We start from the raw sequence: 14,198 nt of genomic DNA on the forward strand, positions 1-14,198 counted from the left end.
GTTTGTAATAAGACTTACTTCCATGGTCGTTTGTATGAAGAAATCCGAAAAACATTATTTTTCCAGTTTTTGTCTCCGAACGCCATAGGCCCTTCAGTGTTGTGGTTTACGCATCTTGCTGCGAATGCAGGGCCACCATCACTCAGCACCACTCCCAGGACTGACGTTTCACTGAAAATGTCTCAGAAACTAAGAGCAATGGGGGGAATTTTGCACAAAACGAAAGTGATGGTGCAGTGTGTGGGCAGATCATTATTCTGAGATTGTCTTTCCTCCTCTTTTGGCAGGTTTTGTGGGGTTTTTTTTTTTCTTTTTCATTTTGTTTTTTTTTGAGACAAGCTCCCTGTCATCCAGGATGGAATGCAGTGGTGCAATCTTGGCTCACTGCAACCTCCTCCTCCCAGGTTCAAGTGATCCTCCCACCTCAGCCTCCTGAGTAGCTGGGACCACAGGCACCCACCACCACGTCTGGCTAATTTTTTTTTTTGTATTTTTAGTAGAGATGGGGTTTTGCTATGTTGGCCAGGCTGGTCTTGAACTCCTGGCTTCAAGAGATCTGCCTGCCTCGGCCTACCCAAGTGTTGCGATTACAGGCATCTGTGCCCGGCCTTGGCAGTGTTCAAATACCCTTTCTTTTAGGAAATGATAGGGGTAATAGGTGAGAGTTGCTGGTAGTGTTTTAGTGTCTTTAACCGGCAAAGGAAAACACTGAAAACTCTTGGCTGGGTCCCTTGATAGACCAATGATTGATGTCCCAAAGCCATTATCTGTCACTCTCCACTTGCCTAGTTTTTTTTTTTTTTTTTTTTCTGACAGGGTCTCACTCTGTCGTCCAGGCGGGAGTGCAGTGGTGCCATCTTGACTCACTGCAATCTCCGCCTCCCGGGCTCAAATGATTCACCCACCCCAGCCTCCTGGTAGCTGGGATTACAGACATGCACCACCATGCCCAGCTAATTTTTGTATTTTTGATAAAGATGCGATTTTGTCATGTTGGCCAGGCTGGTCTCAAGTGATCCGCCTGCCTCAGCCTCCCAAAGTGCTGGAATTACAGGCGTGAGACACCGCGCCTGGCCATTGCCTACCTTTTCTATAAAGGGTGGAAAGGCGACCTGCTGGCCACCCAGCTTCCTAGGAATAGCCCTGTGATACAGCCCTGGCCGACAAGATGAAAGCAGAAGTCCGGAGTGATGTTTTCTTGCTGGGAGAAAGTTCTGCGCCCTTGGCCCCTTTACCTTTTCCCTTCTCTGACCTCTTCTTCCTACAAGGAACTCAGACTCAGGTCTTGAAGTGAACAGCTGCTTTCTATCTCTGAGGAGACTAGCCTGAGGATGAAAGCATGAAGCTTGGCAGAGCAAAACCCAGAAATGTGCTCGTTAATAAAATCCAGGATCCTTTTATAGTTCATAAGTGTGATGATTGGGTTTTCACGCTCGTATGTGAGATGTGCCTCCCTCAGACTTTGTTACGATGTTGGCACATTCCCCGTTTGATGTGAAAAAAGAAAAGTAAAATGAAGAAGGTATCCAAAATCAAACTGTATATAAAGTGATGAATTTGCCAAAAGGTCTTTTACACGTGTTGGACACAGACTCTTGTGGTCAGTACAAACCCAAAATTAGAATTTGTGGATGTGATTCTTCCAGTGAATGCTTGAGGTATCTGTTATCTTTTTAAAACTCCTGTATTATTTATGGAGAAAGACTTTTTGAAAGCAGGTAGTGGGTCTTGAGTTTCCCTCTTCCACCCTCTCCTTGACCAAACATGGCACTCCAAGCAGGCTTGGATGTTCTGTGCAACTCATGTCATTCAGTTGCTTTATGAAGTATTTTGAAGATGCTTTTATTTCAGCCATTGATCTGACATTGATGTCAACAAAGTCTAAAAGCAGGTCCTTGACAACATCTTGGTCCCTATGGTAGCAATGTCTGGGGCAAATGGCAATGATGGAGGTGTTATAATCATTTTCATAAATTTATTTGAGTTAAAAGCTATTGAAAGCTTTCCTGGTATCTCTTGAGGAACTTCAAAGGGGACCCAATTGGTAATCCTTAATAACACAGAGACATTTCTTTTAAAATTGACACCAGAGAGTGGCACTTCTCAAGTCGTACAGCTGGGGATGTGAAATAAAAGGTCATTAGTGGAGCCATTTTGGCATTTTATGCACCAGGTGATTTAGATTTAATTTCTTGGCCTGGCACAGTGGCTCATGCCTGTAATCCCAGCACTTTGGGAGGCCAAGGCAAGCGGATCACTTGAGGCCAGGAGTTCGAGACCAGCATGGCTAACATGGTGAAACCCTGTCTCTACTAAAAATACAAAAATTAGCCAGGTGTGGTGGTGGGCACCTGTAACCCCAGCTACTTGGGAGGGTGAGGCAGGAGAATCGCTTGAACCCAGGAGCCAGAGGCTGCAGTGAGCCGAGATGGCACCACTGCACTCCAGCCTGGGCGACAGAGTGAGACCCTGTCTCAAAAAAAAAAAAAAAAAAAAGAAAAAAAAAGATTTAATTTCCTAATCCTTACACTCCCAGAAGTAGGGACTGTTATTATCTCCATTGTAGAGATAAGCAAGATGGTGGCTCAGAGAGGGAAATTAATCTCTCTAATGACACACAGCCAGTTAACAGTTGAGTAGGATTCTCTGATGCCAAAGTCTCAGCCTCCCCTTTGCCTGAACCCTGTGTGAGGGCAATTTACAAAGTTTATGTGCAACTTATTTATTTAACTTTCTGTTTTTCATCCCCTTTTATGTGAAAAACTGTCAATAAGTGCATACTGAAAGACTTTTTCTTCTTCTTTTTTTTCTTTTTGAAATGGAGTCTCGTTCTGTCACCCAGGCTGGCATGCAATGGTGCCATCTCTGTTCACTGCAACCTCTGCCTCCCAGGTTCAAGCGATTCTCCTGCCTTAGCCTCCCAAGTAACTGGGATTACAGGCGCATGCCACCACGCCTGGTTAATTTTTTGTATTTTTAGTAGAGATGGTTTTCGCCATGTTGGCCAGCCTGGTCTCGAACTCCTGACCTCAGGTGATCCACCTGCCTCGGCCTCCCAAAGTGCTGAGATTACAGGTGTGAGCCACTGCACCCGGCCTTGAAAGCCTTTTTCTATTCTTGTCTCCCCACTTCTTCCAAATCCATTAGACCATCTCATTTGCAGTATTACTGAAGGTCAAGTGTTCTCTTTGAGGTTGTCATTGATAAAATTGATGGAAAGGCTGGGGGTGGTGGCTCACACCTGTAATCTCAGCACTTTGGAGGCCGAGGCGAGCGGGTCACTTGAGGCCAGGAGTTCCAGACCATCCTGGGCAACCTGGCGACACCCCGTCTCTACTAAAAATACAAAAATTAGCTGGACATGGTGGCACATGCCTGTAGTCCCTTGGGATGCTGAGGCAGGAGAATCGCTTGAACCTGGGAGGTGGAAGTTGCAGTGAGCTGAGATCATGCCATTGCACTCCAGCCTGGGCAACAGAATGAGACTCTGTGTGAAAAAAAAAAAAAATTGACAGAGATGAATGACTTCTTTTTTCAAGGTCTGGCTTGCCCACACTCAAGTTCTCTGCCCTCTGCCTCACACCTGTGCATGTTGCTCTATCATGACTCCTACCTAAGTTTAATTTTGGCCTTACTCTGTTGCAAAATCATTGTTCCAGAAAAGCCACTGTTACAGAGCATGTCAGAGCCAAGATGTCTTTGGGTTTTCTGATTTCATTTCACATCAAGTGAAAAGGTCCTGTAATATAGCAAACAATACACTGCTTCAGGTGAATTGCAGATGACTTACACAGGCTTTGGTCAGATGAAATAGATTGAACCACTATGTGAGTCAGTGATTCTGTGGAAGAAACGTAATGTTGTAAGCCACAAGAGTGCAAGAAAATATTTGGTGAATAATGTTTCATTAGTTAAATTTGCCTATAATATAATGCTTTTCCACGATCTTGTGCATTTGTTCCACTGGAATACAGTATTGCCCAACTGTGGTAGGCATCAGATAATTCACTCACATTATTTAAGTAGATTCTATTTTTTTTTTTTTTTGAGATGGAGTCTCACTCTGTTGTGCCCAGGCTGGAGTACAGTGGCACTGTCTCAGATCACTGCAACCTCCGCCTCCCGGGTTCAAGGGATTCTCCTGCCTCAGCCTCCCGAGTAGCTGGGATTATAGGCGTGCACCACCACGCCCAGCTAATGTTGTATTTTTAGTAGAGATGGGGTTTCACCATTTTGGCCAGGCTTGTCTCGAACACCTGACCTCAAATGATCCACCCACCTCGGCCTCCCAAAGTGCTGGGATTACAGGCATGAGCTACCGTGCCCAGCCTAGATTCTAAATTTTTAATAGCAGGGAGCATATTTTCTATTTGCTTTGCTACCTTTGGTATGTTATATTGAATGGGTGGGTAAAATGTGGGTACTAAGTAAACGTCTTGTTTAGTAGAAGAATGAAATATTTTTAAACTTTGTTTTGAATTCAAGGGAAACTATGACAATAGATAGGCAAGGTAGATAGACTGCTAGATTCCATGAGGCAGTAAAGTGACATGGTTAGGAGTACAAACTGCAAGGCTTTGTCTATGCGACTGCCATTCAATAGAATTCTCCATGATGTTGGAAATGTTCTATATCTGTACTATGCAATAGAAGCCACAGGCGTCATTTCACTGTTGACCTCTTGAACCTGTGGCTAGTGCAACTGAAGAACTGAATTTGTAATTTTATTTATTTATTAATTTATTTGAGATGGAATTCCGATCTTGTTGCCCAGGCTGGAGTGCAATGGCACAATCTCGGCTCACTGCAGCCTCCACCTCCCAGGTTCAAGTGATCCTCCTGTCTCAGCCTCCCAAGTAGGTAGGATTACAGGCATGTGCCACCAAGCCCAGCTAATTTTTTGTATTTAGTACAGATGGGGTTTCACTATGTTGATCAGGCTGGTCTCGAACTCCTGACCTCAGGTGATCCACCCGCCTTGGCATCCCAAAGTGCTGCGATTACAGGTGTGAGCCACCCCGCTCGGCCTAATTTTATTTACTTTTAATTAAGTTAATTTAAAATTTAAATATGTGCACATGTGACTAGTGACTCCCATATGGGGCTGTGCTGAACATGGAGTGTAATAGCAGAACACAGACACTGTATACACAGCCAGGGTTTGCATCCCAATCCTGTCACTTTGCTAATTTTTTTTTTTTTTTACTTCAATAGAGGACATTTTCCTGAAGTCTGTCATTACAGGAGTTTCAGATTTCTTCCATTTTTGCTCATAGCTGTTGATCTATACACTTTTACTCAACCCTGATAAAAATAACTTAGAACAAAGTATATCTGAGTAAATGTGCTTTTATAGTTTCTACGAACTGGAAGACATTCACAGCTTATTATTAATTATTATTATTTGTTAATGTTGTACCAGTATTTGATTTTCTCAGCCTGCTCTCCAAAGGGTGTGTTACCACTGGGCGGTAGATCTTGGAATGAAGAAAGAGATTAAGAATAAAAGTCCCAGAGTTTTGCACTGTCCCCACCGTCAGGTCTCAATTTTCCACCCACTTTGCGTAGAGCAGAAGTGCGGCCTCATGGTGCCCTCCTGTGGCCATACGTTTAGTTGCAAGATGATGGTAGAGTTTTTCCTTTTTTAAAAAAAAGGAAAGAAAGAAAAAGAAGGAAAAAAGGTTCTGCATATGTTTTTAGTCAGCAACACGTTTTGAGATGTGACAGTTCTGTCAAAACAATATAATTCAACAAACTTCAAAGTAACCACAACAGAAGATATGTAGACACAATTTGGAGCGCTGTCTCAGAGCCTTACCGTGAAATGTGCCACAAACATTTTGAGGGACGAACAATGACATCTGCAAGGGAAGCAGGGTAAGTCACACTCAGGTGTGTGAGAATCAGAACAGAGACCCAGAAGAAAACCAGCTTAGAAATGGAGGCAGAGCATTAAAGAAAAGGCAAAAGAGAATTTCAATTTTCTGGTGCTGGAAGCTGTTAGCTGCACATGTTTGAAGAAGGCAAGTTCTGCAATGCCTTCACTTGTATTCATCTAGCAGGTGTGAACCAGACAGTGTCTCTGTCTTCAGGGAGCTTACATTTTAGAGGAAGGGGAGACAGAAAATCGTCACACAAGGAATTGAACAAACAAGATACTTTCAGAAAGCAAAATGCACCGTGGAGAAAATCAAACAATGTCCTGAGATGGCAATAGATAGAAATTAAGAGCCATGAGGAGGAAGGGGAGAGGGAGAGAGAAGCGAGAAGTTCTCATTGAAAGAAGTGGTTAAATTATGGCTACATTAAAAGAAATTATTTCTAAAATTTCTTTCTTTTTTTTTGAGACAGAATCGCTTTCTGTTGCCCAGGCTAGAGTGCAGTGGTGCATTCTCAGCACGCTGAAACCTCTGCCTCCTGGGTTCAAGTGATTCTCCTGCCTCAGCCTTCAGAGTAGCTGGGACTACAGGGCACGTGCAACAACATCTGGCTAATTTTTTTTTTTTTTTTTGTATTTTTAGTAGAGATGGGGTTTTGCCATGTTGGTCAGGCTGGTCTTCAACTCCTGACCTCAAATGACCCACCCGCCTCGGCCTTGCAAAGTGCTAGGATTACAGGCGTGAGTCGCTGCGCCCGGCATTTTTTTTCTCTTTTTTTTGGAAATTGAGGCAGAGTCTATGTTGTCCAGCTGGTCTTGAACTCCTGGGCTCAAGCAGTCTTCCTGCCTCAGTCTCTACCTGGGACTACAGACTCAGCCTCCCAAGTACCTGGGACTACAGACACACCCAGCTAATTTTAATTTTTATGTATACATAATGTTTGCACACACTTATGGTGTAAGTATGATATTTTGATCCATGCACACAATGTGTAATGATCAAATCGGGGTAATTAGCATATCAATCACCTTGAACATTTGTCATTTTTCTGTGTCGGGAACATTCCAAGTTTCTTCCAGCTATTTTGAGATATATAGTACATTATTGGCCAGGTGCAGTTGCTCATGCCTGTAATCCCAGGACTTTGGGAGGCCAAGATGGGAGAACTGCTTGAGCCCAGGAGTTTCAGACCAGCCTGGGCAACATAGTGAGACCCCATCTCTGTATTAAAACACACACACACACTCACAAAATATTATTTTTAACTATAGTAACCCTACTGTGCTATTGAACATTAGATCTTATTCCTTCTTCTTCTTTTTTTTTTTTTTTTTTGAGACAGAGTCTTACTCTGTCACCATATTGGCCAGGATGGTCTCGAACTCCTGACCTCGTGATCCGCCTGCCTTGGCCTCCCAAAGTGTTGGGATTACAGGCGTGAACCACCGCACCTGGCCAGATCTTATTCCTTCTAATTGTATTTTTGTGCCCAGTAGTCAATCTCTCTTCATCCCCTGATTTTCTTCTCAGACTGGTAACCATCATTCTACTCTCTACCTCCATGAAATCCACTTTTTCTTAGTTCCTGCATATGAGTGAGAACATGTGATATTTCTCTTTCTGTGCCCAGCTTACTTGACATAATGACCTCCAGTTCTATCCATGTTGCTGCAAAGGACAGGATTTCATTCTTTTTTATGGCTGAATAATATTCTACAGCATAAAATTCTGGATACATTTTGCAGATGGACCTGACAAGACTTGTTGACCGATTGAATATGGACTATGAAAGAAACATGAGCCAAGAAACATGAGCCAAGCAAGATTTTTGGCCAGAGTCACTGCCCTATATTGAGGTGGGGACGGGTCCACATGGGGCCACCTTTGGGAGCTGGGTCTTGAAAATATCGGAAATGCCTGCTGGACACATATCTGAGCTGTTGCATAGACAGGGGACATACAGGTAACTGACACAAGCAACCTCCTGTCTTTAGGCTTACCTGTTGGCCTGCTACAGGTGGGAGCTCTTCAGTTTAAGGGCGCTGGTGAAGAGGAGAAACAAAGGGAGGAACGTTCTAAACTTGTAAGCGCAAGATTGGGTCAGGGTTCAAGAGAAGACATGGAAACACGCAGAACAGGTGATCGCCGCTCAGAAGGCTGCTGAGAGAAGAGAGAGAAAGTGGATGTGTCAGTCTGGACTGAGACCCCGAGCAACCCCAGGGAAGGAGAAGGAGGCCGAGGGAAACCATATGAATCACTGGATTCAACTCAGAGAGATGCAGAAATCCCCAGAAATCATGGAGGGAATCGGAATGAGATGAGGTTACGTCTTCTTTCAGGTGGCATGGAGGAGTCAGGCTCGGAAGATAAATTTCCCCTCAAAAAATGCAAAGAAAAGAAAAAATTATTACGCACTTGATTGACAGCCCATATAATATATATATATATTTTTGTCTGAGACAGTGTCTCACTGTGTTGCACAGGCTGGAGTGCAGTGGTGCTATCTTGGCTCACCGCAGCCTCGACCTCCTGAGCTCAAGTGATCCTCCCACCTCAGCCTCCCCGGTAGCTGGGACCACAGGTGTGCACCACCACAGCCGGCGAATTTTTGCATTTGTAGTAGAGACGGGATTTTGCCATGTTGCCCATGCTGGTCTCGAACAGCTGGCCTTAAGTGATCCGCCTCCCTTGGCCTCCCAAAGTGTGATTATAGGCGTGAGCCACCATGCCTGGCCATGTATAATTATTAAAGTTTAAAAATTTGCAGGGCCTGGGAGTGAGTTCTTCTCTTGGCTCACCCTTGCTTGGCCCTGCTGAGGAACTCTTTGGTGTAGACTACACCCCACAGAGCTATTCTCCCAGTGGGGACACAACTGGGACATTTACCCACCAACACGGGTGAAGTGCTGCTTCTGAGGGGGGTTAATTCCCTGTGCTTCTGACCTGCCTTGTGGGTGGGCAGAGCAGACAGTGGCAGCCAAGGAAGCTCCCAGGTAAAGAAATGCAGGACGCCCAGGCGCGGTGGCTCACCCCTGTAATCCCAGCACTTTGGGAGGCCAAGGCAGGCGGATCACTTGAGGTCAGGAGTTCGAGACCAGCCTGGTCAACATGGTGAAACCCTGTCGCTAACTAAAAATACAAAAATTAGTCGGGCATGGTGGTGGGAGCCTGTAGTCCCAGCTACTCAGGAGGCTGAGGCTGGAGAATCTCTTGAACCCAGGAGGCAGAGGTTGTAGTGAGCCAAGATCGCGCCACTGCACTCCAGCCTGGGTGACAGAGCGAGAAAAAAAAAAGAAAGAAGAAAGAAAGAAAGAAAGAGAGAGAGAGAGAGAGAGAAAGAGAAAGAAAGAGGGAAAGCAAGCAAGAAAAAAGAAATGCAGGTTCTGGCCGTGGAGGGTGCATGTGCCCTGAGGTGGTGAGGACAGGGATGGGGTGGGGACACCGAGGGCATCCCATCCACTGATCCACTGGTGCCTTAAGTGCATCTTGGTCGCTGCTCCAGGGCTTCCTTCTCCACGGAAGCTCTAGGAATGGTTAATATTTCTCCTTTGGGTGAAGCCCCAAAGCCACCTTGTCCTACCTGGCCACGCTGCATCTGAGACCGGGATCCCCCTCCCGCAGCCCATCACCTATTTGATGGCAGGTTTCATTCCACTTTGCTCTTGCCCTCTAATCCCAAATTTTCTTTCCTCAGGATCTACGGCCCCAAGTTTTTCAACATTCCTCCCATCCTGGCACCAGACTGATGGCATACCAGTTCGCTGGTTAATATTCCTCTTAACACAGGTGCCCCGAGCTGGACACACCCCTAAGCTATAGTGAGATCACTGCAGAAATGAAGAGGCCATCACCACAGACCAGGAGCTGGCCGATTACAGCCCTGTGAGCTAAGAATGGGTTCACATTTTTTAAACAATTGGGGGGAAAATCAAGTGAAGAATGCTTCAAGACATGTGAAACTTACATGAAATTAAAGTTTCAGCATCTTCAATAAAGTTTTCTTGGCACGTGGCCACACCCATTCCTTTACTTACTGTCCATGGCTGCTTTTGAATTTCAAAGACATTGCTGAGGGTGGTGGGGATTGAGCTCTTACTAGCCTGAAAAGCTTAAATATTTACTCTCTGGTGCCTTGGGAAAATATTGGCCAAACCCAGACATGGAGTGATCCTGGATTTCTTTTGCCTGTTCAATTAAAAAAATTGACCTTAGCCGGGCGCGGTGGCTCACGCCTGTAATCCTAGCACTTTGGGAGGCTGAGGCGGGCGGATCACGAGGTCAGGAGATCGGGACCGTCCTGGCTAACACAGTGAAACCCCGTCTCTACTAAAAATACAAAAAATTAGCTGGGCGTGGTGGCGGGTGCCTGTAGTCTCAGCTACTCGGGAGGCTGAGGCAGGAGAATGGCGTGAACCCGGGAGGCGGAGCTTGCAGTGAACCGAGATTGCGCCACTGCACTCCAGCGTGGGCGACAGAGCGAGACTCCGTCTAAAAAAAAACCACAACTGAGCTTAATGTTTATATTGAAAGGCGAATGCAATCATATGATTCAAAATGTTAAAGACACCAAAAAGATTCCATCCCTTGCCCACCCAGTTCTCTTCTGTGAGGGTGTCCGGGGTTCCCAGCTCATACAGGTCCTTCCAGATACATTGTATGCAAATGTAATCAAATACCTGGACCTACGTCTTATCTCACTCTTGTTTACACAGTGGAAGCATCCAATAGAATTGTTCTGAGCTGTGTCTTTTTTTTTTTTTTTTTTTTTTGAGACAGAGTCTTGCTCTATCTCTCAGGCTGGAGTGCAGTGGCATGATCTCTGCTCACTGCAACCTCCACTTCCCGGGTTCAAGCGATTCTCCTGCCTCAGCCTCTCGAGTAGCTGGGATTACAGGCTTGTGCCACCATGCCCAGCTAATTTTTGTATTTTTAGTAGAGATGAGGTTTCACCAGGTTGGCCGGGATGGTCTCGAACTCCTGACCTCAAGTGATCCACCCGCCTTGGGCTCCCAAAGTGGTGGGATTACAGGCGTGAGCCACCAGGCCCGGGCCCTTTTTTTACCCCTTACGTCTAACAGTGTATTTTGAAGATGATTACACAACAGTTAATACGGACCCTCTTTATTCTTTCTTATAGCTGCAGTGTATTCCATTGTACCTGTTTAACTCCTAATAGTACAGATTTAATCTGTAATTAATTTATCCCTTCCAGATGAAATTTTAGGTTCTTGTCAATTTTTATTTTTATTTTTTGCTAATACAAAGAGTCTTTTAATCTTGTACATGTATCATTTCACAAGCGGACAAGTGTGTATGTAAGATGAGTTCCTAGAAATAGGAATCCTGGTTCAATGAGTATATGTTACTTGCTTTTTTTTTTTTAATTATTTTTTATTTTTTATTTTATTATTATTTTTTGAGACAGTGTTTTGCTTTTGTTGTCCAGGCTGGAGTGCAATGGCGCGATCTTGGCTCACCGCAACCCCCGCCTACTGGGTTCAAGCGATTCTCCTGCCTCAGCCTCCCAAGTAGCTGGGATTACAGGCATGTGCCACCATGCCCGGCTAATTTTGTATTTTTGTAGAGACGAGGTTTCTCCCTGTTGGTCAGGCTGGTCGCAAACTCCCGACCTCAGGTGATCCGCCTGCCTTGGCCTCCTAAAGTGTGGGGATTACAAGTGTGAGCCACTGCACCTGGCCTATTTTTTATTTTTAAATGCAGGGGCCATGCTAATCTTGCCTATATTGTTCCAATTTTAGTATATGTACTGCCGAAGCAAGCATGCTATCTGCTTTTTAAATTTATTTTTATTTATTTATTTTTGAGATGAGTTTCATTCTTGTCTCCCAGGTTGGAGTGCAACAGCGCGATCTCGGCTCACTGCAGACTCCATCTCCCAGGTTCAAGAGATTCTCTTGCCTCAGTCTCCCAAGTAGCCGGGATTGCAGGCGGCTGCCTCCACGCCCAACTAATTTTTGTATTTTTAGTAGAGATGGGATTTCACTATGTTGACCAGGCTGGTCTTGACCTCCTGATTTCAGTTGATCCGCCGGCCTTGGCCTCCCAAAGTACTGGGATTACAGGCATGAGCCACCGCACCCAGCCCTGCTTTTGAAGTAACCTAAACTGCTTCTTTCTCCCATTCCCCATTCCCTTCTCTCCCTTCCTCTTTTGTTCCTCCCTCCCTCCCTCCTTCCTGAAGTAGGAACTGAGAGCTCTTATGGGACATTTGGAGGGGGCATAAGGAGTGTGGAGAGTGTAAGATTTAGGTTCATGATTTCAATGATGATTGTAAGTCATGGCCAACTTCCATCTGCTTTTGGAGAAGACAAGCCTTGAACACAGAATTATAATTTAAAGGGCCTGCAGGATCCTGAAAGTTATGTTTCCAAAGGTTTATACCTGGGACAATATTCACCCTCACTGTCTTCAGAAAATAGACAAAACATAAGTACTTCATAGTTTTTTGGAGGAGCCATTCTGTAGGTGAACTGGAAACATACCAGGATATTATCATAAAATGAAAAACATAGAAGAAAACGTAGTTTTGAGACCAGGCGTGGTGGCTCACGATTGTAATCCCAGCACTTTGGGAGGCCAAGGAGGGAGGATTGCTTGAGGCCGGGAGTTCAAGACTAGCCTGAGCAACACGGCAAGAGGCCCCCATCTCTACAATTTTTGTTTTTAATTAGGTGGATATGGTGGTGCAAGCCTGTGTGTGGCACTAGCTATTCAGGAGGCCAAGGTGGGAGGATCATTTGGGTCCAGGAGGTGGAGGCTGCAGTGAGCCGTGATCATGACACTGCATTCCACCCTGGGTGATGGAGCTGGAGTCATCCGTCTCTCTCTCTTTCTCTCTCCTTTAAAAAGCTTATAAAAGCGAAATTTTCAGTGTGCCACAGAATTCTTCAGTGACGAACATAAAAGCAGGACTTGAATTAACTCCATTGTACAGTTTTCCTTGTTACTGAGGGGTACTTTCCCAATTCTACTCTAAAATATTAAAGGATGGGCTTAAAATTTTAAAAAATTAAAATAAAAATGCTCTTATACTCAGTTTTATATTTATGTAAAAATTCCTGGAATTCAGAAAATATTTGGCTTAATCAAAACTTTGCTAACTTTTTCTATGTCTTGTTGGTCAAGGAAATATATGTTTGTCTCCTCTGACAGAGTTCTACTCAGTTCCTGTTGTTTACATTTATGATAAATTTTCAATATGCTACAACATTTTTTTTTGTCCCATATTTTATGACATCAAGACTGGATGAGAAAGAACCCATAGCATAGGCTTACTTTTTTTTTTTTTTTTTTTTTTGAGACGGAGTCTCAACTGGGTTGGCCAGGCTGCAGTGCAGTGGCGTAATCTCGGTTCACTGCAACTTCCGCTTCCCAGGTTCAAGCAATTCTCCTGCCTCAGCCTCCCAAGTTTAAGCAATTCCACTGCCTCAGCCTCCCAAGTAGCTGGGATTAAGGCATGCTGGGCCACGCCCAGCTAATTTTTGTATTTTTAGTAGAGACGGGGTTTTGCCATGTTGGCCAGGCTGGTCTCGAAATCCTGGCCTCAAGTGATCCGCCCACCTCAGCCTCCCAAAGTGCTGGGATTACAGGTGTGAGCCACCATGCCCAGCCAGGCTTACATATTTGGATGTTTAGTCTATGACTGAATGGACCATGTGAATTTGTGCTTGTGTGGACCATTAATGGGATGTGTGCTGATGGTGGCCACACGTGTCGCTGTAGTCTCAGATACGACCCAATGAGGTGCACAGTGAATCTCTTAGAAGCCTTTGTTTTCCATCTGCTGGGGAATTTTGGTATTTCAATTAACAAGGACCCAGGGCAATCATTTTCTCTCTCCCGGTGAAATCCCATTCCCTGCTGCGACGCCCCTGCTGTTGGGGTGCACTCCCTGTCTTCCCCTCCTGGTCACCCCTCCTCTCCACTCAAGTGTGCCCTGCTTCCTCCCAGATGCCCATGAGTCATTTCCTGTGCTTCCTGCCACCACCATGCCTTTCTTTTCTTTTCTTTTTTTTTTTGAGACAGTGTCTTGTTCTGTCACCCAGATCTCGGCTCACTGCAACCTCCACTTGCCTGTGGGGATTCTCCTGCCTGAGCCCCTGAGTGGCTAGGATTACAGGCGCCCACCACCATGCATAGGTAATTTTTGTATTTTTAGTAGAAATGCGGTTTCGCCATGTTGGCCAGACTGGTTTTGAACTCTTGACCCCAAGTGATCCCCCCGCTTTGGCCTCCCAAAGTGCTGGGATTACAGGCATGCACCACCACGCCCGGCTAATTTTTGTATTTTTAGTAGAG

At 45.1% G+C, this 14,198-nt stretch overlaps 1 non-coding gene and 1 pseudogene across 1 annotated transcript, besides 1 other annotated feature; one reads left to right on the forward strand and one right to left on the reverse strand.

Moving 5' to 3' along the window:
• Nucleotides 259–318: an enhancer, noted in NCBI's record as "active region_20098". NCBI's record gives its function as "activates an Ori minimal core promoter by ATAC-STARR-seq in GM12878 lymphoblastoid cells {active_cell/tissue: GM12878}" and the evidence as "EXISTENCE:reporter gene assay evidence [ECO:0000049][PMID:35858748]".
• Nucleotides 1,392–1,495, forward strand: LOC124906349 (small nucleolar RNA U13). Its single transcript, XR_007096316.1, has one exon. It is a non-coding gene; the product is annotated as a small nucleolar RNA U13 (small nucleolar RNA).
• On the reverse strand, nucleotides 11,553–11,662 carry RNU6-557P (RNA, U6 small nuclear 557, pseudogene; annotated as a pseudogene).

This window comes from Homo sapiens, chromosome 3 (assembly GCF_000001405.40).
Source record: "Homo sapiens chromosome 3, GRCh38.p14 Primary Assembly".
In the NCBI taxonomy this organism is placed as follows: Eukaryota; Metazoa; Chordata; class Mammalia; order Primates; family Hominidae; genus Homo; species Homo sapiens.